This window comes from Homo sapiens, chromosome 20 (assembly GCF_000001405.40).
Source record: "Homo sapiens chromosome 20, GRCh38.p14 Primary Assembly".
Taxonomy (NCBI): Eukaryota; Metazoa; Chordata; class Mammalia; order Primates; family Hominidae; genus Homo; species Homo sapiens.
In genome coordinates this window covers 1966938-1994792 of record NC_000020.11, presented here as the reverse complement: position 1 = coordinate 1994792, position 27855 = coordinate 1966938, and the positions used below count along the sequence as shown (strand labels likewise).

General features: G+C 46.9%; 1 protein-coding gene and 1 long non-coding RNA gene across 14 annotated transcripts in view, besides 1 other annotated feature; one reads left to right on the top strand and one right to left on the bottom strand.

Annotated features, from left to right (window-relative positions):
• The window catches only part of PDYN-AS1 (PDYN antisense RNA 1), a 60308-nt gene that overhangs the window by 12725 nt on the left and 19728 nt on the right, over positions 1–27855 (bottom strand). The window lies entirely within an intron of this gene.
• Positions 365–1195: an enhancer, noted in NCBI's record as "H3K4me1 hESC enhancer chr20:1974244-1975074 (GRCh37/hg19 assembly coordinates)". NCBI's record gives its function as "activates a minimal SCP1, AML or CMV promoter by ChIP-STARR-seq in naive H9 embryonic stem cells {active_cell/tissue: H9 hESC(naive)}" and the evidence as "EXISTENCE:reporter gene assay evidence [ECO:0000049][PMID:30033119]".
• PDYN (prodynorphin) lies at positions 508–16037 on the top strand. 13 transcript variants are annotated; one of them, NM_001190898.3, is made up of 4 exons: positions 735–882; positions 2150–2209; positions 11693–11837; positions 13835–16034. In NM_001190898.3, the coding sequence occupies exons 3-4, from the start codon at positions 11709–11711 to the stop codon at positions 14468–14470; spliced, it is 765 nt and encodes a 254-aa protein (NP_001177827.1). In that variant the 5' UTR covers positions 735–882; positions 2150–2209; positions 11693–11708; the 3' UTR covers positions 14471–16034. The 13 variants fall into 13 exon arrangements, with proteins under 13 accessions (NP_001177828.1, NP_001177827.1, NP_077722.1 ...); NM_024411.5 differs by having other exon boundaries at positions 11690–11837; NM_001190900.1 differs by lacking the exon at positions 735–882 and adding an exon at positions 1045–1106 and having other exon boundaries at positions 11690–11837; positions 13835–16037.

The window sequence follows — 27855 nt, the reverse complement described above, 5'->3', positions numbered from 1 at the left end:
GCAAATGTACACACAAAAAGATTCCAGCACACGCGTGCACCAGCCAACACAGAGTTGCCACGGCACGCAACAGCGGGCCATGCACGTGCCTGCTGACTCGGCTGTCATCTTCCGACTCTCTTCCGTGATCAGAAGACTGTCTCAGCCTCTGTCTGTCTCCACGTCTGTCTGTCTGTGGATCAGTGTGTTTTGAGTCTGACAGTCTACCTGGCTGGTTTCCTTTTTTCTTGCTCTGTCCCTCTCTCCTTGTGTTTCTACCCATCTCCCTATCTCTGCCACTCTCTGTCTCTGTTTTTCTTTCTCTTTCTCCCCTCCTTTGTATCACTCCCTAGGTCCGACATTGCCTCTTTCTCGATTTCCGATTCTCTCTGAGTCTCTCTCTCTCTCTCTCTTTCTCTAACTCTTCTGTCTCTGTCCTTCCCTGTCTTCTTTTTCCTGTGACACTCTCCTGGAAACGCATCAAAAACTGAAGTGGCCGGATTTCAAGTGACAAACAGCACTACACCCAGAATCCGCCCCCTCCCCAACACGGCTGCCTTCCTCCTCCACATCCCTGTCACGAAGAGAAGCCTATTGTGTCAGGCCCAGGGAGTTCGAGTTGAAGGGCCTGGGGGTCTGTGCTCTGACTGCTCTCAGCCACTTCCCCATTGGCTCCCAGCAGCCTGTGCTCAGCAAGGGCTGAGCGACAGGGGAGGCTCTCGTCCATAAAAGGGGGGAAGAGGCACCAGAACTGCCATTTGAAGGGGCTTTGGTGGTGTTCACAGCTGCCTCTTTGGCACCTCCTCCCAAGCCGGAGTCAAGGAGGCCCCTGAGCCTTGGACCAGCCACTGCCACCTCCGACCTGCTCGGCCAGAAGCTGCCCAGGGACAAAGCAGAGTGCAGGTAACATCCAGAGGGGGCACTGGAATTCTATCGCTTGGTTTTATTTGCTTATTCCTGGTCCTCTGGACCTAGAGATGGTGGGAGCTCGGGCTGGGGATTTTAGGTTTGGGTCTGATTATCTAGCAAAGGTGGTTACAGTTAGGAGGCTAGTTCACAAAAGCCAGACCAGTGAGAGACTGCTCTTTGGACTCTCCCTTTCTGCACAGTCCTGGCTTAAACAGGTGGTAAGCTCTCTCCCAAGAGGACCACCCTTTGGCTTTAGCTCCAGGGTCTCCTTCTTGCAGTCTCCCACACAGCAGTTCCCATGCCATTCCCAGGGTCTGGGGAAAATGGGACACCCTGGATGGGAGAAGTGAGAGGTTTCACTAATCAGGGTGATTTTAAAGGTCAATGAGTCTCACTGGACTTAGAGAACAATGGCTTGAGGACATTAATGAGATCCAAGGCTCTGGCATTTATCACATAACATGTACATCAATGTACGGCCAGGTTCGGCCTTTTCATTCTTTTCGGATTGTGTTTAATTGCTGACAGGGTGCTGGTTTGAGCGGCTTCTTTTGATGGAATTTGATACAGGTTGAAGTTTGGGGATGTTTTGTTGGAAGGGAATGGGAAAAGGGAGTGACAACAAGCCAGGAGGCCCAGGCTTAGCAGGCATTTTCTTGTCCATTTTACTTGGAAAGGACTTGTTGCTCTCCTATTAACTACAGCCAGAGGAGTCTAAGGCCAGGAGGAGGCTCAAAGGGAAAGCCATTTGCTCACTGGTCCAGAGACCCATATTCAGAAAAGTACCAAGTCTCAAAGTTTGATTCTAGCAAAAAGCTGATGAGTTTCAGGAAAAAAAAAAAAAAAAAAAAAGCCTGCTGACTACTCCAAGGTTGAAGAGTAAATTCTGCAACTGCTTACTTTTTCCTGGGTATCAAGAATCCCTCCAAGCTCTACAAACATTACTTAATTAAGTCTCCAGTCTTCCCAGGGGAAACAAGCTCTTTCGATTATTGGATCTGATTTCAATTCCCCTCCCACAGACTGAAAGTCTTCATTATCATCTTTCTTCCAAGGGTTGCTGAAATATACAAGGCTTGCCTTTCTAATTTGACAGGCATCCCAGTCGAGATCCATTGCAAAGCATTGCAGAATGTCGATCCTCTTCTGTTCTTTCTCACCCCAGGCCTCACTCCCACCCCTCTGTGGCACCTTCCTTCTCTTTTCCCCTCCTCTTCTCCCCCCAGTCCCACCACACCTTGCCTTTGTTCTATTTTTGCAGGTCATTTATCTTCAGGCTTTGAGATCTGCGTGGGGGGAGCTGTTGCAGCAGCCCAAGCCGGTGAGTTATGCTGCCTGGGGGTGGTTTGCGTTCACTGACGGGATCTCAAGCCCACTGCTTTGCCCCAGCTGAGCTAGAGGTGTGATAGGTGGCAGGCAAACCCTATGCCTCTGTTGGCAGCTGGGAGGGGGATGTCACACTGGTTCCCAAGGCTATGTGGCGGAAGGCAGCACATTTTAAGGGAGCAGGCAAAGGGATCAGCTCTGGGGCTATTTGAGAGATTTGCGATCTTAAAACACGTGGAAGGAGTTAAGGTTTCTTGAAGTAACTCCTGGGAGGCAGGAATTTTCCATCTGTCATCTACACGTGTGTCTCACAACACCTGAAACAGTGCTGGGCTGAAATCCCAGATCCTACCACTCACTTACTGTGTGACTTTGGAACAGTAGAAGTCCCTCTCTGAGTCATACTTTCTTTACCTGTATGATGAGAATAATAATAATATTCACCTCCTAAGGTTATTGCAAGTCTCCAATGGGATATAGCAAAATGCCTGGCATTCAGTAGGTGCTCAATAAATACTGGCATGACTGCTCAGATTTTCACTGTTCCGAAGTGGTGAGGTTGGACCTTTCTCTCCATCGATTATCATATCGCTGATCATCCCACTCCATCATGCTGTGTGCTATGTCCAGGAGATATGATCTAATGTCTAATATTTTCATTTGAGGGGCTGGTGCTCCTTTCCCCTCCCCATCCCAGCAGAAGACTTTTTATTTCATCTGCTGCATCAGGATCATGAAGTCTCTTTTTGATCGATACTCCCTAAATCCACCTCCCACTACCCACCTCCTTGGGTCATTCCTGCACAATTGTCGTATTTATTAGATCTCTTCCATCATTGTAAGAGAGATCAATAGTTACTGGTTCGATTTCAATGCATGCCTGACAAAGTGTGGTTACACAGCTGATTTCTCTCACTGTATTCACTCATCTCAGCCCATGAATGTTGGCTAATCTTGCTGGGTCTGACAAAGTGATAAACCTGTTTCACTGAGACAGAGCTGGCCACTGTGGTAGGCAGTGAACATCGGCTGGAGACACCCAGGTAAGCCCCAGGATCAGACCCTCGAAATGGAGTGGGGTCTGTTAGTGCTGTGAAGCGCAGCCTCATCAGTCCCTCCCAGCCTGGATCCAGACTGATGCTCCTGGCAGGAGGACGATGGCCTAGGTCCATGAGGCACATGGCTTGGCTCAGGGGGCTCCTCCGAGTCCATCCAGGTCATCCCACTGGCCAGAGCGGCTGGCCACAAGCCGCAGACATATGCACCGAGGCAATTTGTTGATGCATTGGCTTGAACTGCCATTTGGTCCCTGTCCTATTCCTGGACGATTTGATTTAACTTGACAGCGGTTTACTGAGCAGTTATTATGTGGCAGGGTCTCTTGCCCACTGGTCCCTAGGAACAAAGGGCAGACTCAGAGAGCAGCAGGAGGGAGAGAATTGGTGTTTGTGATTCACACGGTATGTCAGCATCCTGAATCAAAATCTACTCTCCCTCCCCACTTCTCTCTCTCTTATTGTGTTCACTTCCCTTCCCTTTTTTCCCTCTTCTTCCCCTCCTCCTCACCCCCTTCCCTTCTATTCCCATTTGTCCTCTCCCCATCTCTATGTCTCATCTTATTTTTTCTTCCCATATGGTCCTCCACCTCTCTCTGCTTTTTCTCGGTGTCTCGGTCTCTTTTTCTGTGTGTGCAGTTCTCACCTCTGCCATTCTTTTGGGCCCCTGTCTTTTTCTCTGTGTCTATATCTCTAACTCTCTCTTTTTACATCTCTCTCTCTATGTCTCTTCATCTCCATATCTCTCTAGCTTATCCTCTTTTTGCCTTTCTCCCCATCCCTTAATTGCACCAGATAACAAAAAGGGTGGCGGTTCCATCCAAACCTTGCTCTTGAAAAACGTTCTTTTAAATATGCAGTGAATGATCCCACCAGGACCACTGCCTGCAAGGCCGTCTTTCCCTCTGGTCTCTGCACAGCAAATGCAGCCGACCACCAAACGGGACCCTCATCCGATTCTGTGCTTTGATCTTTGCCAGGCTAAAGTGTGGGTTTACTTTCTGTTCAGAACCCGAGCCTCCTTCCCATTGATCATTCGTCTTTCGTTACGATGCTAACACCTAACAAGGGGCACCGCTTTTCCAGGTTCAGGGGCTCCCTTTGCCAACCACCTGGAGACCCACAAGGGTGAACTTTACACTTTCGAGTGTGGGGCAAAAGCTTCTGAAATGGTTTCAACGTCAGGAATGTGAGAGTTTGGGAGGTTATCCGAAAGACACTCGATACATATTTAGGCCTCAGGATGGTTTGTGGCGTGGTCAGCAGACTGACTCTGAAATCTTATTCTGCTGTTTCCTTGCTTCTTGGTCTTGGCCCAGTCTTTTAGACTCTGAGCCTCTGTTTTCCCCATCTGGAAATGGAACTAATAGTTCCCAACCCACTGGATTCTCTTCAAGAGAAGAGAGAAATAATTGAGATAAAGTGGACAGCAAAGAGCTTGTCCCTTCTCATAGCTACACCCTAAATGAGGAATGCGATGGACTTAGAGAATTCCAACTCTGCCATGCTCTGTGACCACGGAGAGGCACTTTGTCACTTGATCCTCACCTTCCCATCTGGATCCCAAGCTGTAATATTAGCCCCTGCCCCGTAGGGTCCACGGGAGGCACCTGGAGTGCACGGGGCTGGTGCAGAACAGCGTCTCAGTCCTTGCTGGCTGTTAGGATGGTTGTCATTGCAGGGTCATTGAAACAATGGCATCTCTTTAGTGGGAGTCACGGTTCAGGTGTGGGAGGCTGGAGTTCTGTCTCCATTTCCCTCGTGACTCATGATATGACCTTAAACAAGTGACTTCATTTCTACCTTTTCCCATTTCCTCTTTCATCAAATAGGGGTAATCATATGCGCTAAAGTGCTCAGAGAGATAATTGCAATGTTAAATCAAGCCATTATTATTCCATGCTGGCTTTTTAAATAAAAACGCTTGCGGCTCCTCTGAGCCCTCAGCTGACTACAATATAGAAATATCATCGAGAAGCCAAGACGTCAAAAAGATCATTCCCTTTCAAGGAACTCTGGGCCCTGGGTGAAAAGAGGGTCTACCTTGTGCTGGCCCTTTAAGCAGTGCTGTCTCAGTGCAGGAAGATGATACACCCCAATCACAGATGAGAAGACTGAGGCTTGTGGAGGAGGTGGCACCAAATGACCGCAGAGCCCATGCCTTTCCCTCTCAAGGAAAAGGTAAATCCCAAGGCAAGCCTCCCCAGGTCCTCTCAGTATTTGCCAGGAGAGCAGTCCAGGCAACTAGAAAGGGCTCAGGGCTGAAGAATGGGGCCAGTTGCTTCCTGCCTCTTCCATCAGGAAACCCACCTGACCTCCTGGCAAGAGATCCATCCACTAGCAAGGCATAAAAAATGTTTTATTATTTAAGAATATGTTCAAGTGCCTGAGGACTCAAGAAAATTAGCTTAAAAACTATTAGAATCATAAAATGTTTATAAAACCAGTCAAAGTACGGTCAGCAAACCTTGTCTGTAAAGGACCAGAGAGTAAATATTTTGGGCTTTCTTGGCCCTACAGTCTCTGTTTCAGCAATTAACTCAGCTTTTGCAGCATGAAAACAACCACAGACATAGATGCAAACAAAGGGGCATGGGTGTCGTATTAGCCAAGGTTCTCCAGGGAGGCAGAGCCAACAAGGTGTGCCTATCCGCAGAAAGAGATTGACGTAAGGAATTGGCTCATGTGATTAGGCAGGCTGGTGAGTCTGAAACAACCCCACCTGTTAGGGGAGAATCACCCCACTGCCCCATCAGCCCCTCTTTCCCCTACTGGGCTATTACAAAGCACCCGAGGTAGCAGCTGAGAAAAAGCTTCACAAACTGCCAAGTGCAAAGGACTTTTCCTTGTGTGGCCTCCGGGTCCTTGGCCAAGTCTGTGAAAGAAGACCATGCAGGCCCTCCATCAGGGTCAGATACTGACATCATGCCTCCCGCTTACCAAGGGGGCTTGCTTCCCACTTCTCATCCCGATGATCGGCAAAGTTCCTTTCCTCCTTGGCCCATCCCTAATCAGACATGATAGGCAGGCAGGGCTCTCTCTTATGTGTGACTTCCCAGCTCCATTCCTTGGCAAATCCCCATCAGAAAGGTCGAAATGCTTCCCCTGGGGCCCATCTGACATTGTTCAGTAATGTATTTATCCTATAAAAGGAAGGAAATAGGATCACCTATGAAATTGTGAGGGCCAATGTGTCTCTACTAGGGTCCCCTTTTAACCCGGAGGGATCTGGACAGGAGCCCAACTCCCCCATTCATAACTCCAGGTGAACTTGGATGAGCAAGTTCCCCTTTCTCAGCCTCAGTCTGGCCCTCTGTAAAATGGATATTAAAAGAAAAACATGCACCTCTGGGGCTGCTGTGAGGATTGGAGCTAATATGTACAAAGCAGTAATGCACAGCCTGGCACCCAGTAGGCTCCTGAGAATCGGTGGCTGTTGCTGGGTTGACAGGATCATGGATGAAGGGCATTCAGCCCAGACCAACACCCAGCAGGCCCTCCGTCCACGGCAGTGAGTCATGCAGCAGCATTTTTTGTTTCTGCAGTGTGCCAAGCTCTTTATGATCTCTCCTTTTTGCCCTCTTCTTTTCCTATCCCCTACAGCTCAAGTAAGACTAGACTGGAGTCTTCATACTCCCCTCTCCAAAGCACCTACTATGTGCCAGGTGCTTCAAGCACAAGCTAGGTGCTTCAAATGTGATCATTTATTTAGTTCCTATGTCCACCCTCTGAAGCATTATTATTAGCCCCATTTTGTAGCTGAGAAAACTGAGGCACAGTAAAGCTAAGTCATTTTCCTAAAGTGGTGGTAAGTGGTGGGCTGAGACCTGAGCCCACTTTACTGACCACTTGGTGATCCTGCTTCGGGGTCAGGAAAGAATTTGAGGTCCTACCTCTCCTTTCTCAACAGCTGTGTCCCTTCCACCCCATGCTGCTTCTCCGAGTTAGAGTGGGTAATTCAGGGGCTGCAGACTCACTTGTCTGTCAGGCAGTCGGCAGTGAGGGAAGCCCCAGGTGGTTCCGCGGGTGGCGATGGGCAGTATGGCTCTTCCTCTGTGACTGTTGCCATATTGGAATACAGGCTCAATGTCCCCAGGCCTTTTGTTTTTTCAAGACAAATTGAAAATTGAGATTTTTTTAAATGTAAAAATTGCCTAATTTTAAAATATTGCCTGTTTATTTTCATAACTAATTGGTGTGCAGCTCCTGCTCTCATTCTAGCCCTGTATGAGGTACTGGGACACCATTCATTCATTCATTCATTCATTCATTCATCAATCACTCAAACTTCCTTAGTCTTCCAGTCACATTTAGATCAAATGCAAACTCTCCCTTGGCCTATGAGAGCCGGCATTATCCATCCTCTGCCCACCTCTTTGCTTTTTCACCCCAGTCTCTCCCTTACGTCCCTTCATGCACCCTGGCCTCTTTGTCATCCTCAAGCACAACACACTCGCACCTCAGCGACCCCCCTACCTGCCCATAAGGGACTGACAGGTAAGTGGTAATTTTGTGATGGAGCCAGCATAGGAGGCCGTGGGAGCTCAAAGGAGGGAACTAATCCAGATAGACTTCCTGGAAGAGGCAACTGAGGCTGAGTTTTGAATAATGAGTAAGAATTAGCCAGGTCAAAGTGTGATGGGAGTGGATGAGTGGGTTGAGAAAGATGTTCCTGTCAGAGGAAACCCTTTGTGCAAAGGCTTGGAGGGTGGGGTGTGTGGAGCATTTGTTTTGAAATTGCAGGTGGTTTGGTCAAGCCCAGGATGGGCAGAACTCACATCCAATCTGTCTGGGTGCTGTGTACTTGCTGGGATAGCTTGGACAGACTATATGATCTTTCTGTGTCCCATTTTCTCATCCATAAATGGGGAGAATATTAGTCCCAGTCTTACGGAGTTGTCAGAAGGACCCCCTTACAATAAGACACACAGAGTTCTGAGCACAGGGGCAGGCACACAGGGAGCACTAGCAAATGTCAGCTGTTGGTATTAGGAGAGCCCGGGGCTGCTAGGTGATGGGGACAATCTTCCTCTGGAAGCCAGTGGACACAGGGCAGAGGTGCAGTCAGATCTGCATTTCAGAAGGGTCCTCCAGCTGCTGCGTGGAAAGTGTCTAGGAGGGAAAGATTGGAGGCTACTCCAGAACCAGGTGGAGGGTCCACCTGGAGGGAGAAGCTGGAGGCTGGAGATGAGAGGACTGAAGGGGCCTGGGCAGTACACAGCAGTTACGAAGGTAGCTCTGGAGCCAGACAGCCTGGTAGGAATCCCAGCTTTGCCACTTACTCACTGTAGAATCTTGGCAGGCTCTAGAATCTTAACTCAGTTTCCTCATCTGTAAAGTGGGCATGGCAACAGCACCAGTGCTGTAGAGTTTCTGTGAATATGTATGAGTTAATCCACGAGAACTGCTCAGAACATCGTGAGTACTTCATTACCTTCAGATCAACCAGAATTATCATTCAATATAAAGTTAATGGATGAAAGACAAGGATGCCAATGCTGTTTTTGCCTGAGATAAAGAGATCTTAACGTGAGTCCCCTACCTTTGCAGCTAAGCTGTGTGGGAAGCCTTCGGCCAGGAGTTAGATGGTGTGGTAGGCGCCCCCTCCCCAGTAGGTTAATTCACTGCTGATCTTCTAACAGGCCAGCCCAGCCATCACTGATATCAGAGAAAACATGAGCTGCCCGCTTTGTATGGCTCACTGGTGGGGAACTGTAATCCACTCCGCAGCTGACAGACTCAAGGGGAAGAGAAAGACACAGGAGGGACACAAGTCCGCTTCCCTGACTTTTCCACTGAGCCTCCCTGGTTCAGGGGAGCCGACCTTGCCAGCCTCAAGCGAGGCACATGGGCCTGAGCTTATGCCTCGAATTGCTATGTGACCTCAGGAGATTTACTAAGCCTCTCTGAGCACCAGTTTTCTTGTCTATAAAGTGGGGCTAGTGATACCCACCTCTCACAGTTTGTGGGTAGGCTAAGTACAATACACAGGTCAAGGGCCTTGTATATAAAGCCCCTTGGATCTCACGGAGGGTGCAGCTGCCACTGAATTGAAGTTGCTCTAGAAATTGTAGTCATTAAGTGTAGGGGGTCAAACAGAGCAGGCCTTGCACCCCAGCTTCACTATTCGAGGTAGAACATGGGCAATTCACCAGACCAGAAGTGCCCGCTTCCCTGAAGGAATAAATGAGGTGATGAATTGAAGAGCTTAGAGCAGTAGGGATCTGATAAATGGCGGCTGGGATCACTATTAGGCATGCTCTGGTGGGGGAGCCTACTGCATGCTTTAACGGGGAGACCCTGCTCTGGCTACAGCGTGGGGTTCTGGGGCCCGTGGAGTGGAAGCTTCAAAACACTCTGAGCACCTGAGCAAACACGGCAGTTTGCAGGGATGGGGAAGTTGGAGGAAAAGAGGACAGCCTTTTCTGAGAGTAAATTGGTGTTGTCAGGTTACAAAGACCATGCTGGGCGAAGCATGAAGCCCCTGGCCAGGGTGGGGTGGAGTGTCTTAGAGGATCCAGTTGAAAGAACTGTACTGCGCCCCCATAAATCAAATATCGAGGCCCTGAGTCTTGATGTCTGATTTATAAAGCGCTGACTATGAAACAGACAACTTTTTTTTTTTGAGATGGAGTCTCACTGTGTTGCCCAGGCTGGAGTGCAGTGGCACAATCTCTGCTCACTGCAACCTCTTCCTCCTGGGTTCAAATGATTCTCCTGCCTCAGCTTCCTGAGTAGATGGGGCTACAGGTACATGCCACTCTTCCCAGCTAATTTTTGTATTTTTAATGGAGATGGGGTTTCACTATGTTGGTCAGGCTGGTCTCAAATTCCTGAACTCAAGTGATCTGTCCGCCTCAGCCTCTCAAAGTGCTGGGATTACAGGTGTAAGCCACCATGCCCTGCAAAACAGACAACTTTTAACAGAGTATTTATGAAGCATTAATTCATCTGCCAAGAATTTATGGAGGACCTGCGATGTGCTGGCCGGGGTTTTAGGAGCTAGTATACAGCAGAGAATAAGACAGGGTCTGTGTCCCCAAGGAGCTAACATTCTATTGGGGAGGCAATAACCACAACATACACACCACCAACAACAACCAAGCATCAGATAGATAGGAGACTATGAGGTGGGAGTGTTCTGATGCAAACAAAGGGTGATGTAAGAGAGAGACCAAGGAAGCCTCATTAGACATAGTGATCAGTAAATGCCTCTCTGCCAATGTGACAACTAATTTAATGACAAAGAAGGAACTAGTGATGTAGAAGTCTGAGGTCAAAATACTGCAGGCAGAAGAACAGAAAGTGCAAAGGCCCTGAGGTAGGAGCAAGCTTATTTGAGGAACAGAGTGACTATTTCAGAGAAAAAGACAAGACGTGGAACCAAATCCTGAAGACTCGCATAGCTAATTACCAAATAGTAGACTATTTTCATGGAAGAGGCACATGTTGCTGGGAGAATAGAAAGGAGGAGCAGCTCACCTAGCCTAGGCAATCAGGGAGAGCTGCCTGGGTGAAGTAATATCTAATCCAGGACCTAAATGACAGGTAACAGAATAGGAGATGAAGGGTTCTCCAGGCGGAGGGAACAGCATGTGCAAAGGCCTGGGGGTGGGTCAGAGCCTGATGCATTCATTAAGGGAATTGCAAGAAGCTGATGTGGTTGGAGCCCAGAGCTGAAGTGTGGGATTGTAGGAAAGGGACTGAGGGAGCCCTGACATTTAGGCAGAAGGGCCAGCCTGACCCCACCCAATGGGTGTGTTCACAGAATTGATATTGCCAAGACCGGCATTTCAGGGTAGGAAGGAGGAATCGGAGAAGGAACTGGAGGCAGGCAGGGAGGCCAGCAGGGAGAGGGAGTGAAGGTGGAGCCGTGGCCAAGGTCAGTGACAGTACCAGAGTGGGAGAGAAAAATTCCAAAGCCCTCACACAGCCGAAAGGACTGACATGGGACAGTCTGGGACACAGGGACAAAGACCTCAGAGAACTCAGAAAAGCATTTAGCCAAGTATCTTCTGGCTTGGCGGGTGGCCAAAGTGGGTTTTGAAGTCTGAAAGACCCAGAGCAAGTCGTGGCTTGTCCACTTCCTAGCTGTGTGCAACCACTTCCCAGCTCTGAGCCTCAGCTTCCCCATCTGTTGAATCAAACTAGCACAGCCCACATTGAAGAACTATTGTGCAGATTGAAAGTGAATGTGCAGGAAAGCTCTGGGTATACAGTGGGTGCTCATTCCCTTCCTTGACCCTTGGCTTTGGGCCTCTGCTTTACCTCCCTGGGCCTCTGTTTTCTTGACTGTAGAATGGGAATCAGAATGCTTTGCAGTGCTGTGGGCAGGAGTTAGAGATGACTTTGTGGGCTCAGAACACAGTCTACAGAGTGGTGATCACAGATTTCATTATCTTCTCTTTCTTCCTCCCCAGCAGGAATTGCTGAGACAGGATGGCCTGGCAGGGGCTGGTCCTGGCTGCCTGCCTCCTCATGTTCCCCTCCACCACAGCGGACTGCCTGTCGCGGTGCTCCTTGTGTGCTGTAAAGACCCAGGATGGTCCCAAACCTATCAATCCCCTGGTAGGTTTCAGGCAAGGTTCTTCAATGCCCAGGTCCTTGGACCTGTGCGAGGCAGCCCAGAGAGGGGAGGTTGCAGGCCTGGGCAGCTGTGTGCTGTCTTGTAGATCCATCCCACCTGTGCAGGGTGGTGGGTGTCCTGCCCTATAGATGGCCTGGACACCAGGGGCTGCTGTGTCCCCACTCCAGACCTCGCCATCATGGGTTCACTTAGGCCAGGACAAGAGACTCAGGTGTCCAGGGAGAGTGATGCCTGGCAACAGGGAGTGTCATTTCTGAGGTGGTGCTGACTTCGGCAGTCAGCAGCTCTAGATTGACTTTTCAGGGCTTCTTTTTCCTGGGCTGATGAGCACCTCCAAATCTAGACAGTTCCATGAGAGGAGCTGTCTCCAACACCCCTAAATGCAAAGATCTGGCTGACAGGATCAAAGCTTTGACCCTCTCCTGGGCCTTAGCACCTCTTGACCCTACCTTGTCGGCTTTCCTTTGAGTTAAGTTCCCCCACATGTCTCTCCCATGACAGCAGAAAGGCTGGAATAGAAGTACCAAGGGCATAGGGACAGAACACAGACTTTGATTCTGTCCCTTTCTAGCTCCATGACCTTGGAACTCCCTCTCTAAGCCTCGGTTTCTTCATCTGCAAAATGGAGGTGATTCCATGAGATAGTGAAAGAAGTTATTTAATTATTTATTTATTTTTCCGAGACAGGGTCTCACTCAGTAGCCCAGACTTGAGTGCAGTGGCATGATGTCGGCTCACTGAGACCTCTGCCTCCTGGGTTCAAATGATTCTCCTGCCTCAGCCTCCCGAGTGGCTGGGACTATGGGCACCCACCACCACACCCGGCTAATTTTTGTATTTTTAGTAGAGACGGGGTTTCACCATGCTGGCCAGGCTGGTGTTAGACTCTTGACCTCAAGTGATTTGCCCACCTCGGCCTTCCAAAGTGCTGGGATTACAGGCATGGGCTATCAAGCCCATGCCAGAAGTTATTATTTATTTATTTATTTATTTATTTATTTATTTTTGTTTGAGACAGAGTCTTGCTCTGTTGCCCAGGCTGGAGTGCAGTGGCACTATCACAGCTCACTGCAACTTCCGCCTCCTGGGTTCAAGTGATTCTTGTACATCAGCCTCCCGAGTAGCTGAGACTACAGGTGCACACCACCACACCCAGCTAATTTTTGTATTTTTAGTAGAGATGGGGTTTTGCCATGTCTGCCCGGCTGGTCTCAAACTCCTGGTTTCAAGTGATCCGCCAGCTTTGGTCTCCCAAAGTGCTGGGATTACAGGCATGAGCCACTGCACCTGACAAAAGAAGTTATTTAATACATAATTCTAGCCACTGAGAGATGCACACAATGGGCCAGGTCCTGCCCGTGCCCAATCTCAAAGAGCACCACGTTTAAGCATGAAGACTCATGGCACTGGACGGCCTGGGTTCAAGTTCCATATTCTTTGCTATTGTCATCGTCATTATGATTGAATGCTCCCAATGGCCCTATGAAGTGATGCCATTGCCCCCCACCCCAGGCCTGATGAACCCTCCTGTGTCCTCTCCTGTGTGTTCTCTGCCATGCTGCACTTCTCTGTCCCACTTTACCAAGAGTTAGCAGTGTGCTTCACACCTGCAGAAGCCTGGGAGAGAATTTGTATTTTTAGTGGAGATGGGGTTTCCTGTCTGGGAGTCAGACGTGGAGGGGGAAAGGTGAGCACGCAGAACACTACGGGAAGATCTTACTTCCAATTCTGGCAATTGCCACCTGCAGCCATGTGTCCTGGGTCTAAAGCCATTTCACCTCTCCAGGTCTGTCTTCTCTTTCTCACAGGCACAAAGTCCCCTACCTTTATGCACCACCAGTAGTATGAACATGGGTAGCCCAGGGCTTAGCAGTGGCGTTCATTTTGGTTTTCTCAGACACTGGACAGGGGAGCCTGGGGCAGACCAGTGCATGTGTTTTGATCATTTGCCACTGTGGTCTTTTTGGGTCTTTTGCAGATTTGCTCCCTGCAATGCCAGGCTGCCCTGCTGCCCTCTGAGGAATGGGAGAGATGCCAGAGCTTTCTGTCTTTTTTCACCCCCTCCACCCTTGGGCTCAATGACAAGGAGGACTTGGGGAGCAAGTCGGTTGGGGAAGGGCCCTACAGTGAGCTGGCCAAGCTCTCTGGGTCATTCCTGAAGGAGCTGGAGAAAAGCAAGTTTCTCCCAAGTATCTCAACAAAGGAGAACACTCTGAGCAAGAGCCTGGAGGAGAAGCTCAGGGGTCTCTCTGACGGGTTTAGGGAGGGAGCAGAGTCTGAGCTGATGAGGGATGCCCAGCTGAACGATGGTGCCATGGAGACTGGCACACTCTATCTCGCTGAGGAGGACCCCAAGGAGCAGGTCAAACGCTATGGGGGCTTTTTGCGCAAATACCCCAAGAGGAGCTCAGAGGTGGCTGGGGAGGGGGACGGGGATAGCATGGGCCATGAGGACCTGTACAAACGCTATGGGGGCTTCTTGCGGCGCATTCGTCCCAAGCTCAAGTGGGACAACCAGAAGCGCTATGGCGGTTTTCTCCGGCGCCAGTTCAAGGTGGTGACTCGGTCTCAGGAAGATCCGAATGCTTACTCTGGAGAGCTTTTTGATGCATAAGCACCTCTTTTCATGGAGTAGAGTCAGGAGAAACCCCTGACACCTTTTCAGGTTGGAGTGCATTCATTCATCCTCTTATATGTGCCCCTTCCCCATGCTCAGCTCAGCATTGTGTACAAAATATCCAAGCCCAGCCTATCTCTCTTCTGCGTGGGAGTATGTTATTTCTCTGGGGTCTGTGATGGGGAAGGGTGGATGTCCCTTCCCCACAATAGGCTTAGTGCTTGGCTCAGACACCTAGACTCTAAAACTATCAGCAGCGGCAGCAGCAGCAGCAGCAGCAGTTTGTGATCTGTCCTTCCAACCTGTTCACGTGACTCCTCAATTCCAGGGAACCAGAGCGATGTGTTCTTTGTACCTGTAGGTCTATGATGTCCAAACTTAACAGATCACATGCCCCTCTTAGAAGAAATATGAGCATGCTCCCTCATGCAGATAGTATACACATCATAAACAAAGAGTAGAACTTTAAAAGAAGGTAAATAATCATACACAGAAATCCTAACATTATATTCCCAAATCTCAAAAGATCTCCTGTGCACCTGACTTTGGAGACGATGCTTTAGGTAAAAAGCTTAAACATTGCCTTATATTGGATCAGGAACCCTTACAGTAGAGGGTCCAGTCTTCTAGTGGGTTTAATGTTTAGTCAGTGTACTCTGAGTCCTCATTGTTCAGAAAAGCACCTCTTGAAGAACTGACTTCCTGAACTCCCAGTCATGTTGGTACCCTGGACAGTGCCTAACTCCTTACAGAAGGGAGTGAAAACCTCTTTCGGAAATGATTGAGAGCAGCCTCTTGAATGCTTAAATGATCAAGGAGGGAGAAAGGCAAACCAATTTGTTCTGTGCAACAAACTCAAAATGTGGACCAGTTCCCTCAGCCCTCATTAAACTAATTAAACTGATGGGTATCATGCTTCTACTCCATGGTGAACTGAAGCAGAGTCAAGCTGATGAAGTTAAGCACAACCATGTTCTTGAGCAGCTGAATTGGCTGCCAAGAGTCCAAGCCATCTGGCCCAACATACGCACTGGGCATTGGGTAAGGGACTCCAGAAGCAGCAGCTAGAAAGAGAAAAAGCCCTCTTCAATCCCCATAATGCTTCTTTCCTCTTAATGTCTCAAAATAAAACCAGAAAGAGGAATAAAATGATTAAGTGCTTGAGGCCAAATGAGTTCCCTTGATTCAAATAACCCTGAATCAGAGGCAGAGACCTCCTGATGTCTTGGTTTCCATCAAAGCCCTCCCTGTCTGTCTGTCTCTCTTTTGCTCTCTCATTCCCAGGCACTCTCTTTTGGTTTGTGGGTCCAGGAGATGAGGCTGGATAGGAGAGGAAAAGGCTTGAGTCTGGATAATTTGTATAAGATGCTGCTGAGCACATCTCTTCATGCGCAGTCCCCAGGTATCTGATGATGTTCTGAAATGGATAGATTGTTTTAGAGTTATTTTGTGTCCTTTAAAAAAATCCCATTTATGCAATTTACTTGGAATTTGCTTAGCCTTTAATAGGCTTGTGTAATTTCCTGCTCCTCCAGTACAATAAATAAAAGAAAGATGCTGATGACTTGGTGGGTGTGTGTGTACGTGCACGTGCACATGTGTGTGAGCCTCAGTCCTCAGAGAGAAAAAAAATTTGCAGAAAAGAGTGCTAGGGAATAAAGAAGAGTTACACACACACACACACACACACACACACACATATTCAGGTTGGAAAACCAAGTGTGGGATAACAGAAAGAGCAAAAACTGTGAAGTGTCACAGCTTTAAATTGGAACATTGGATCTGTGCGACCTTGAGTAAGCCATTTGGCTTCTCTCAGCCTTAGTTCCTGCCTCCATAAAATAAAGACTAATAGTGCCAATTTTGTAGAGTTGCTGTGAGGATTAGAGGAGCTCATATATGCAAAGATCCTGGTACACAGTAGGTGCTCAGTAAATGAGTTTTTTTTCCTACATTGTCTTAAGGGATGGTGACAAAGCTTGAGCATTAAGCAACACAATGAGGAGAGTGGGGAGAGGTGCTGCAGAGGGAGTCTGCATCCCACATAATTCCCATGGGCTGTTTTCTATGCTAGATGACCAGGACAGGAGATAGAGACATGTTCCCAGACAAGGATGAGTGAGTTAGGGATGGAGGATGCTGTAGCCATGGGTGGCATAATGTCCTTTACTAAAATGACATTTTGCATTAAATGTTGTTGATGAGATGTCTTTAAATAGGATGAATGTGAGATTTAATGGCTACAGACCTCATGGGTTCCATTTGGACACTGGCTTTCTGAATGACTTCATAGAAAATGCAGAGTGAGGAAGGTCTCATACATTCTCTCATTCATTCAGCAAACTCTTAATTAAAGGTCTACTGTGTTTGGCAGGCCTTTTGCTAGGTGGTGGAAGTACAGAAAAATGAAATGGACAAGATCTCTGCTGTTATGGAACTAACAGTCTAGTAGAGGAGACAAACACATAGACAAAAATATAAGTCAATCATTAAAAATAATGGTAATTGTTGGGAAATAGTTGGGATGTGGAGATAAAGGATAACAAGGGTAGGGGAGAAACCTCCCTAGGGTATTTAGGAAATCCTTCTCTGAGGACTGTGTCATTCATGATATTCATAGGATCATCAAAATGGAAGGAACCTAAGGCTTGGGTTCATCTTATCCATCCACCTACCCTGTGCCAAAATTGACACATTGATAGGAAACTTTAATCTGCTTGAATACTTTTGTTGACTAGGATTCCACAACATATTCCTATTCCTCAATGATTCAGTGTTGGAAAGTTCCATCTTTATGTCAGGTTGAAGTTCAGGTTTCTGTTATTTTTACCCACTGAGTCCCGATCCTGTTGTCACTAGCCTGGGAGATTCTCCAGGGAAGAACTGTCTACCACTTGAAAACAAATGACTCCTAACTCTCTCAAATGGGTTAAACAAATAAACTACAACAACAAAATCCAAGTAATTTGTTGGTTCACATAAATAAAAATTCCAGGGATATTTAGCTTCAGGTAGAGTTTGATCAAGGGACTCAATAAGGATAACATGATCTCTGCATCCCTAGGCTCTCTTCTCCTCTGTATTGTGTTCATTCTAAGGCTCTACGTGCTTTTAAGATGACTGGCAGAAGCTCTGGGTTATACCCACATGCTATTTTCACCAATCTCAATCAAAGTTTCATGACATCTTATTGGCTTTAATTGGGTCATGTGTCCTATCCTGAGCTCATGCCAGTCACTGTGGACAGATGGATGTGATGCTCTGTTTGATTAGAACCGAATCACATGGACATCACTGGAGCCAGGGATGGATTCAACCCCACTCGAAATAGTGGGGAAGGAAGTGGGTGGTTCTCAAGAAGAAAATGGAGCATGGATCCCAGTAGGAGAGCAAGTGAATGCTAGACCTCCTAGGGTATAGAGTAGGAATATGTTATGGAATCCAAGTCAACAAAAGTGTTCCAGCAGATTAAAGTTTATTATCAATGCATCAATTCTGACACAGCGTAGGTGGATGCCAGTGAGTAAGGGGAGCTGGTGGGGGTTGGGGCCAACTGGAGAGTATACGCTGTGGGAAATGTGGCCCTAGAATGGCAAAACCTTCTCTGATTTCCAAGAGACTGCAGAGATTGCTCAATATGCATGTGACATCTCTGTTTTTCAATCTCTAGGCAGGTAATTTTTTTAAAGTACTGAGTAAGACAAACAATACCATGTTTAGGATAAGACACATCACCCTCTCACCACTATTTTGTGAGTTCTTTCTAAATCTTTTTTTTATGAGAAATACTTTTTTTTCATTTTTAGTACTTTTCCCCTTATGCTATGGACTGCAGAACACTGTTGTTCTGGACTTTCTTTTCTGGACCGATTTCACGTGGTCATAAGAAGGAAAAAGCATGGTAGGAGCCACAGAGAACTGGCTTCAGATTCTGCTTCCCTGGGTGACTCTGAACAAGTCCCTGAATGCCACTGTGCCTCAGTTTCCAGTCTGTCAAATGGAGAGAAAAATAATGATTTCACTGGGTTCAGTAATATATTCAGTAATATGAAGTGCACCTGATACATAAGAGGTTTATGATTCCTAACTATCTCAAATGGGTTAAACAAATAAACAACAACAAAAAAAAGCCCAAGTAATTTGTTGGTTCACATAAATGAAAAACCGAGGGATATTTAGCTTCAGGTAGAGTTTGATCAAAGGACTCAATAAGGATATCACGATCTCTGCATCACTAGGCTCTCTTCTGCTCTGTGTTGGGTTCATTCTAAGGCTCTATGTGCTTTTAAGATGACTGGTAGAAGCTTTGGGTTATACCTGCATGCTATTTTCACATTGTTGCTTCTTCTTAAAGGGGTGTGCCTCTGATTATGGTATTTCTGATGTCACCTGAGTGAGGCACACACCTGTTGAAAAGACAAAACTATGCTGGTGGTAAGAAAAGGGTGAAATTAATTTTTTTAATAGAGCTGTAACATATGTGCTATAAAAGTGTGCTTAAGTGTGTCATTCAATGGAGCCTCACATTTGCATACACCTGTGTGGTCACCACTCAGATCACACCATAGAACATTTCCAGCACCCAGAGGGCTCAAGGAGATCATTTTAATAGGCTGTTTGTGGGGGATGTGGAGCAAGCCAGAGTTAGATTTGGAATAAAAACATTGAAGGCCTTGCGGATTACTGGTTCTTTGTCCATGCTACAAAGGCCACTGTGCAGTGATCACAGAGCAGGCATTGGTTAAGGGATTCCAACATCCCGGTAACCTTAAAAGAGCACGTTACTAATAAGCGCACGGTTTCCACGACAACGCCGTACACCATCACTAGTGAGGAAAGTCTTGTCATAATGATCACGACAATCATTATGATCCCTCAGATTTGGATCACCCCGCCCCCACCCCCAGCTCCAAGCCCTTCACACAAATGAGCCCAGCCATGGGGCTTGTCTGTTAATTAAAGGCCCCAAAGTGAAAACAACAAAAATCCCCACGACAGTGTCAGGAACAATGGTTCCCTAATAGATGTCATCTCAGCATTCTTGATTCATGTGCTGGCTACATGTCGCCTCCCGTTAGCTATGCAGATTTATAACAAAGATTTATAATCAGCCTTCTAATATGTAAATCTGCATCTATGTTGCATTCCCTCATGATTTGTCTCGTCTCTGTCTAACTTACACCAAGCCCCATTATTCTTTGTTCCCAGGGCTCCCCTCATCCTTCATCACCTTTGACATGAAGTGTGCCTTCTGAAAATGTGCATCTGTCTCACTCTTAAATCCCAGTTACACCTGGTGAGCTCCTACAGGCCTGTCCTCAGGTTTAGGAAATCAGAAAGGGCTTTCTGGTTCTTGGTAAGATCCATGCTCTGTCTGGACTTGAAGAAGGAGCACTGGAGTGAGAGTCTCACCTGGGGATGTGAGGATGGTCCCAGCTCTGCTAACCAGTCACTGGAGGTGGGCTGTGGCCTCCCCCAAAGAGTTTTCTCTTTGGTAGAGAAAATGATGGTGAAATATGGTAATGTCTTTCGTCCTTTCAGGAGCTGACACATAACACCTGCTCTGTACCTGTCAGTCAACTAATCAACAAGGCCTCAGTTGCCTCATCCAAAATGGGGGTGATGGTTTCTGCCCTGATGAATAGAGGGAGGTCATGTGATAAGACACAGGGACAGTGTCTGACCCAAAGTTGTTGCATAGTCAGGGTTAATGCCCTCCCCTCCCATATTCCTCCAATCTTTGATGAACATTTACTAAGCCACCGTTGTGTGCCCTGCGCTGGGCTAGTGGTGGGAGATTCAGCAGTGATTAAGCAAAGTTGGTACTTCCTGGGGCTCACTTTCTAACAAGGGAGACCAGTCGCCTACAAATGAACAAGGGTCTCCAGGTTGCAGGCGCTTGCTAGTGCTGTGAAGGAAAATACAGGGTGAGGGATGCAAGTGACAGGGGCAGGGAGGCTGTCACTCAGAGAGGGCACAAAGGCTCTCTGGCAGGTGACATTCGACCAGAGATGTGCAGCAGGTAAGCCTGTGGGTGTCTGGGCGAGGGAGTGAGGGAAATAGCCTCCCGGGAAGAGGGAACAGCAAATGCAAAGGCCTTGAGAAGGATTTGTGGCTGTTTCTGTACTGAAGAGTAAGAAGCTAAGGCAACAAGTAAGAGCAGAGGGCGAGAATCAGGGTGCCGAAGTGGAAGAGACCAGATGGTGGAGGGCGTCCCGCACCTTGCGCTGTCCCAGTTTACACTGTCACTCCGTGTGACTGTGGAGCTGCTTTTACTCTCAAAGTATCCTGGTTTGGATAATGTATAGTATTGATGCCTCACTTATGGGCCATGGATGTTGACTTTTGACCCATGGTGAGATGGGAGCCACTGGAGGATTTTCAGCACAGGAGGGGCATGATCTGACCCAGATTTAAAGGGACTGTGCTGGCTGTTGTATAAAGAGCAGGCTGCAGGGAGCACAAGGGAACGTTCTGCGTCCCTGTCAGCGAATGGCACTCTCCAAAGTGAACATGAGAGACGGAGGTACCAGGAGGAGTGACATGGGAGCTTTTCTTTCTTGAGATCAAAGCCCCAGTCACAGTGTTCTCTCCTTAATACACAGCCACAGGCATCAGGACTCTCAGACACTGCCAGTGGTAGTGGTGGATGGCATTTAAGAAACTACCAGCCTGGAGCCCTCCTCTCCCCACTCCCGTCTCAGCCTTGAAAAATGCAGCCTCATAGTTTGAGCTTTCGGGGAGAAAAATCTCTGAATTGGGGCTTGCTTTACATAAAAGACAGATCATTGGAAAGTGTATAAATCAAAGTTTGGCAAATCGAATTGTATTTTAATCCACTGGGGAATGTTGCTATTCAAGGTCCTCACTGATTTTACAGATTGCAACAGTATCTGTTGTCCATTTAGGAACATTGGTAAAACCCAGAAATGCATCAAGAAGTTTCCCATGAAATTGATCAACAGTCAGAGGTTCAGATAAGATCATTTATGGAGCCCCTGCCCGGGCCAAGGCACAGTAAGGATTAACGCATTAATGGGGATAAATTGGAGATGAGCGCATGACCTCTGTGCTCAAGGAGTTTGCGTTCAGCAGGAAAGACCTCGCAGAGCAAATAACTATGGAAAATAAAAAGAGTTACTTTGGGAAGACTGAACAGCAAAGGTTGATGCAGGTGTCAGGAGCAGAGACCTGGCCTGGCAAGGGCTGAGGATTCCTGAGGAGGTGACTGAGACCTGCGGAGGGGCAGGACAGAGCTGGTGTGAGTAGCTGTGAGCGCAGGGAGGGCTTTGGTGGCTGGGCAGAGACACAGCAGGGAGCTTGATCACACAAGACCTCTAGGCCGTGGTCATGATGTGTGGACTCTGTCTCAGGAACAAAAGAAGGATGTGGAGAAGTTCAAGAGAGGTGGCATGGTCAGGTGTGTCGAATAAGAGTTTTCTAGAACAAGCTGAGGTATACGCATTTATACATACGTCTCCAACAAAGAAAATAAATATCATCCTTGATCTCACCTCTCAGAGTTAGCTATGATTAATATTTTAACATATATTCTCCCAGGGTGGTTCTTCGGTGTGTCTCCGAACACTGGATGATATGCCTTTCTTGTTTAACATTATAATGTCTTAAGCATTTTTATGCAATCATTATAAGTGTCAATTATAAATCTGCATAATCACAATAGTTTACAAACTGTATATACCATGGTTTACTTCAGCATTTCCTAATGAACATGGTAGTTTGCCTAGAATGTTCCAAGGTTGTGCCTTTCCTCTGGTGTCATTATTAATAGCACCTCATTCACTTTTGGAAGAGTTCTGGATGAAAAATTATATGGTCACCCTTCCTATGGGATAAACATTTGAGTTGCTTTCATTGTTATTATTATTATTATTGCATCATAAATAACCCTGTGATAAATATATTTCAGCTTGAAAACCAAATCATCACGTCATTGCTCCAAAGACTCTTAGAATTCATGTCGTGTTTCTTAAACTTCAGACATCCACATGCAATCTGTCACAGCCGACACTATCTTTTAACATTTTTCTTTAATTCGACTTACTTTTTTAAAACCATGAATGAGCTGATTTAAGAAGGAAGCTTAATGTTATTACCATGAATGGAAAACCAGTATTATATTCCATTAATAGAAGTGGCATAACAATGAATTCAAGCAACAATTCAAGGAACAATACCATGAGGAACCAGCTCTAAGCCGAAGTCTGAAGTCTGGTAGGGACAGGACAAAAGGAAGCTTTGCAAGCATTAGAGGGGTGTTAAAGACTTACTAGTCTCAGATGGAGCCTTTATCTTTAATAGAATTGGAAGGCTTTAAAGAGCATTGAAAACTTCCTCCCTCTGGGGTCCCAGGTGGCAGGTCTGCACCCAACATCACCCAAGGGAGTTGTATGTGTTAACAGCTAAGGTAGCCTCAGATCAGGACAGCCTTTATGCAGCACGGTAATGGGCTTGGAATTTACTCCTGCATTTTAAGCATAAGAGTGGCACAGTTATACCCCCTTACCACATAATAAAAGCTGCCCAGGCGCCAAGCCCTGGGCTATCAATTGATGCACCAAGTCACTCTCTAGGAGATGAGACAGGAATAAGCAAAGAAAACCCCACTGTAAGTGTATATACATTAAGGGCTGTAAGAGCTTTAATTTTTTTTTTTTTAATTAATAGGCCAGGCGCAGTGGCTCACGCCTGTTATCCCAGCACTTTGGGAGGCTGAGGTGGGCAGATCACTTGAGGTCAGGAGTTCGAAACCAGCCTGGCCAACATGGTGAAACCCCATCTCTACTAAAAGTACAAAAATTTACCCGGGGGTGGTGGCGGGCGCCTGTAATCCCAGCTACTTGGGAGGCTGAGGCAGGAGAATTGCTTGAATCCAAGAGGCAGAGGTTGGAGTGAGCCGAGATCGTGCCACTGCACTCCAGCCTGGGTGACAAGAGTGAGACTCTGTCTCAAAAAAATAAAATTAAAATAAAATAATAAAACAAAAGACTTCATTTTTTTTTCGAGACTGACTCTCACTCTGTCACTCAGCCTAGAGTGCATTGGCATGATCTTGGCTCACTGCAACCTCCTCCTCCCAGGTTCAAGCGATTCTTCTACCTCAGCCTCCCAAGTAGTTGGGATTATAGGTGCAAGCCACCATGCCCGGCTAATTTTGTATTTTTAGTAGAGATGGGGTTTCACCATGTTGGCCAGGCTGGTCTTGAACTCCTGACTTCAGGTGATCCACCCGCCTCAGCCTCCCAAAGTGCTCACAGGCGTGAGCCACTGCACCCGGCCCATTTTTTAGTTCTGTGTTTACAGAAAACTCGAATGAAAGTTCAGCGAATCCCCGTACATCTCTTCACCTCCCCCCAACACCTGCAGTTTTCCTTGTTATTAACATCTCGCATTAGTGTGAAACATTTGTTACAATTGATGAGCCAATATTGATGCACTGTTACTGGAGTTCACTCTTTGTCCCGTATATTCTATGGGTTTTGAGAAAAACCCGTAATGACATGTATCTACCTTTACAGTAACACAGAGAATAATATTAAAATACTAGTCCCACTAATATATAATATATAAATATGCTTTTATATATAATATCTAATATATAAATAAAAGTCCCACTGTCCTAAAAATCCTCTGTGTTTTGCCTATTCATCCCTCCTTCTCAAAACCCTTGGAAACCACTGATCTTTGTACTCTCGTAGTTTTGCGTTTTCCACGATGTCTTATAGTTGGAGTCACGTAGTGTGTAGCATTTTCAGATTGGCTTCTTTCACTTAGCAATATGAATTTAAGTTCCTCCATGTCTTTTTGTGGCTTCATAGCTCATTTCTTTTTAGCGCTGAATAATATTCTGTTGAGGGACGTTGCACAGTTCATCCATTCACCTCCTGAAGGACATCTTGGTTGCTTCCAAGTTTGGGCAATTATGAAGCATGCTGCTATAAACATTCATGTGTGGGTTTTTGTGTGGACATAAGTTTTCAGCTAAGAACTATTTATTAAAGTTATAATTTCATTGTGATGCTATTATTACTGTTGATGGGATTGGCTGCTCTTCTGATGATATAGTCAGGGAAAACTCTGGGGAGACGACATTTAAAATAAGACCTAGCCGGGTGCCGTGGCTCATGCCTGTAATGTTAACACTTTGGGAGGCCGATGTGGGCGGGTCACGAGGTCAGGAGATCAAGACCATCCCGGCTAACACGGTGAAACCCCATCTCTGCTAAAAGTACAAAAAATTAGCTGCGCGTGGTGGTAGCAGGCTCCCAGCTACTTGGGAGGCTGAGGCAGAAGAACTGTTTGAACCCGGGAGGCAGAGGTTGCAGCGAGCCAAGATCGCGCTGCTGCACTCCAGCCTGGGTGACAGAGCGAGACTCTGTCTCAAAATAAATACATAAATAAAATAAAATAAACTAAGACCTGAAGAATGGGGAAGGAGCGGCCATGAAAGAGCTGAGGGGAGGGCACCCCAGGCAGAGAGAAGAGCAAGAGCAAGGGCCCAGAGGTGGGAGCACTGCTGGCCCAAGGACCCTCAGAAGGTCAGTGAGGCTGGTGAGGACTGCAGGAGGTGAGAGCCGGGCAGGCCCTAAGGCCACAGTGAGCGTCTAAGATTTTGTTGCCAATGTTCCAGGAAGACATTTGGGGCCTTGGCGGGAGTGAGGGGGCTGAGAACTGCAAGGCGTTTGTAGACAGAGTCTCAGAGACCTCCCAACAACCCTGTTAGGTTGGTAAGCTCTCTCCGTCTTGCAGATAAGAAAACAGAGGCTTGGAGAAGAAGAAGCCTCTCATTCTGTATCTAACTTGACTTAAGGGATGTTACAGCTCAGAGCCCAGAAAGGGAGAGATGCAGAATCCAAAAGGAAGCCTCTAAGTATCTATCTGAATTGCAGCCTGAGCAGACAGCAAGGGCAAGAAACAGCTTCAGAATTCAATTCAGCAATAAGGAGATTAGCAAAGGAAGCCAGCTTTAACCTCCTGGGCAGGAGGAGGGCAAGGCGGGGAGTGCCGGGGGTGCTGGGGGGAGGTGGAGGGAACTCTGGTCTCAGATCAGACAGAAGAATTAGGTAATGGTATGGCCAGAATCTAATTGCCCACAAGATACCAACCTCTTTAGAGGATATGGAGTCCCTTGTTGTCATAGCAACCGATTGGAAAAAAAAAAGGGCTCAGCACATCCATCAGCAGCAAGAGAGAATCACCCTGGCCACTGAGGTATCACATCAAAGCAAAAATCTCTGGTCCAGAGGTGCATGTGTGCATCAGGATTCCGTTCACCCAAGACCAAAAACCATCATGCCTTAAACAAGATCAAAGTTTCTTTCTCATGAAAAAGTCAGAGGTGGGCAGCCCAGGGCTGGATTTTATTTAGCTTTCACTGCATCAACAAACCACCCTAAAACTTGGTGGCTGAAAACAACAATTTACACTTCATGTTTTGCACATTGGTGAACTTCCCCTGTGGGTTTCTCCTGGGCTCCCTTCTGAAACTGCAGGCAACTGGAAGGTGGCCTGGGCAGAAGGGTCCTACATGGGCTCACTCCAGTGCCAGCAGCTGGTGCTCCTGGCTGGAGACCCTCATCTTCTGGGAGGCTAGGCTGTCTTTCTCACATGGGAGTGTCAGGCCCCAAAAGTCACCCAATGCCAATTTTGCCACACGGAGGTGGGAGCACAGTGCTGGGTTGATTCAGGGACACATCCAATTCAAGGGAGGGAAACAGACTTTATCTCTTGATGGGAAGAGGGCAAAGTCACATTGCCAAGAAGCACTGGGATGGGAGGGATCTTCCCAAACAATCTCTCACAGGTTGAAGTGGACATGCTGTTCATGAAGTTGTCAGAATCCCAAGATTCTTCTATAGCACATCACACCACCAGCCCTAAAGGGGGACCCTGGACCTCCAGGTCCAAGACAGTGACTGGAATCTGACCACTCCACCTGTGTTAGGCTGTTCTTGCATTGCTACAAAGAATACCTGATACTGGGTAATTTATAAAGAAAGCAGTTTAATTGGCTTATGGTTCTGCGGGCCGTACAGGAAGCATAGTGCTGGCATCAGCTCGGCTTCTAGGGAGGCCTCAGGAAGCTTACAATCCTGGTGGAACGTGAAAGAGGAGCAGGCACGTCACATAATGAAAGCAGGAGCAAGAGAGAGAGAGACAGGGGTCGAGGGAGGTGCCACACACACTTTTCAATGACCAGATCTCCTGTGAACTCAGAGCGAGAGCTCGCTCACCACCAAGGGGATGGCCCAAGACACACACAAGGGATCCGCCCTTATGATCCAAACACCTCCCACCAGGCCCCATCTCCAGCATTGGGGATTACAACTCAACATGAAATGTGGACAGGGGCAAATATCCAAACTATATCAACATCTATGGTCCAGGTGGCAAGATGGAGGAACAAATAAAAAAGAGGGGGAAAGGACATACGCGTCAGCTGTCCTTTCTGGAAGTTGCTATGTAACATTTCTGCTTATCTCACTGGCCAGATCTGAGTCACATGGCCACACTCAGATACAAGGAGGCTGGGAAATGCCATCTTTATTCTAGGTAGCCAATTGGCCCATTTAGAGTCTGAGGTTCTATTTCTAAGGAGGCAGGGGAGCACGGATATTAGAGATCCAGCAGTTTCTGCCACAATATGAAACCTTTGCCCCTGAGGTAGTACAATGTACTGAAAGATGTCACCCCAATTACCTTAAAATGGGGAACTTTTCCATCACTGGGCAGATATCTTTTAACCCCACAAAGGTTTAGAAGTCAAGCCTATATTATTGTGTAGTTGGTATTTAAAGTATTCACAACTTTGAAGAGGTTTTTTTTGCATATTAGAGTATGAACAAATTAGCCTTGTGACTCCTATTTAAAATATGTAATTGAGTTTAGACTTGTGATTCTTCCGTTGAGAAGCACATGAATCTTTTTATACTAAATTTATAAATGACTCCAGAATGTATAAGAGATCTTGAGATTCACTGTTGTATAAGTTTTTAAATTAGATTTTCCAAAGTGGTTTAAGTACTTTGGAAAGTTTTGCTTGTCAGGTCAGGCAATGAAAGTGTTTAAAAAAGGAAATTGAATACGTTAAATTAGTAAGTCCTGTGTAAAATGTTGAAGATAATTTAATTAACCAAGTTTGCAAATGGTATGAATCATTTAACCGAGTATGAGTCGATTGACCATTAATCAAAAGCCCCTTGAAACTGACTGCATAGAAATCGAATAATAAGTTTTGTAAATTGAACTTAAAGGCTTAAGAATGACTAGGGTTTTTTTTTTAAGCTACTGTATTACATTGAATATTAAGTAACAAGTACTTGCAAGAAACCTTTTCTGCATCCAAAAAATCCCTTCCACAC

Excerpts from the sequence above, each read along its gene's own strand:
- PDYN (NM_001190899.2), top strand. The coding sequence starts at position 11,709 with ATGGCCTGGCAGGGGCTGGTCCTGGCTGCCTGCCTCCTCATGTTCCCC. Across the intron at positions 11,838-13,834 it reads CCAAACCTATCAATCCCCTG|ATTTGCTCCCTGCAATGCCA; the intron begins GTAGGTTTCAGG and ends GGTCTTTTGCAG.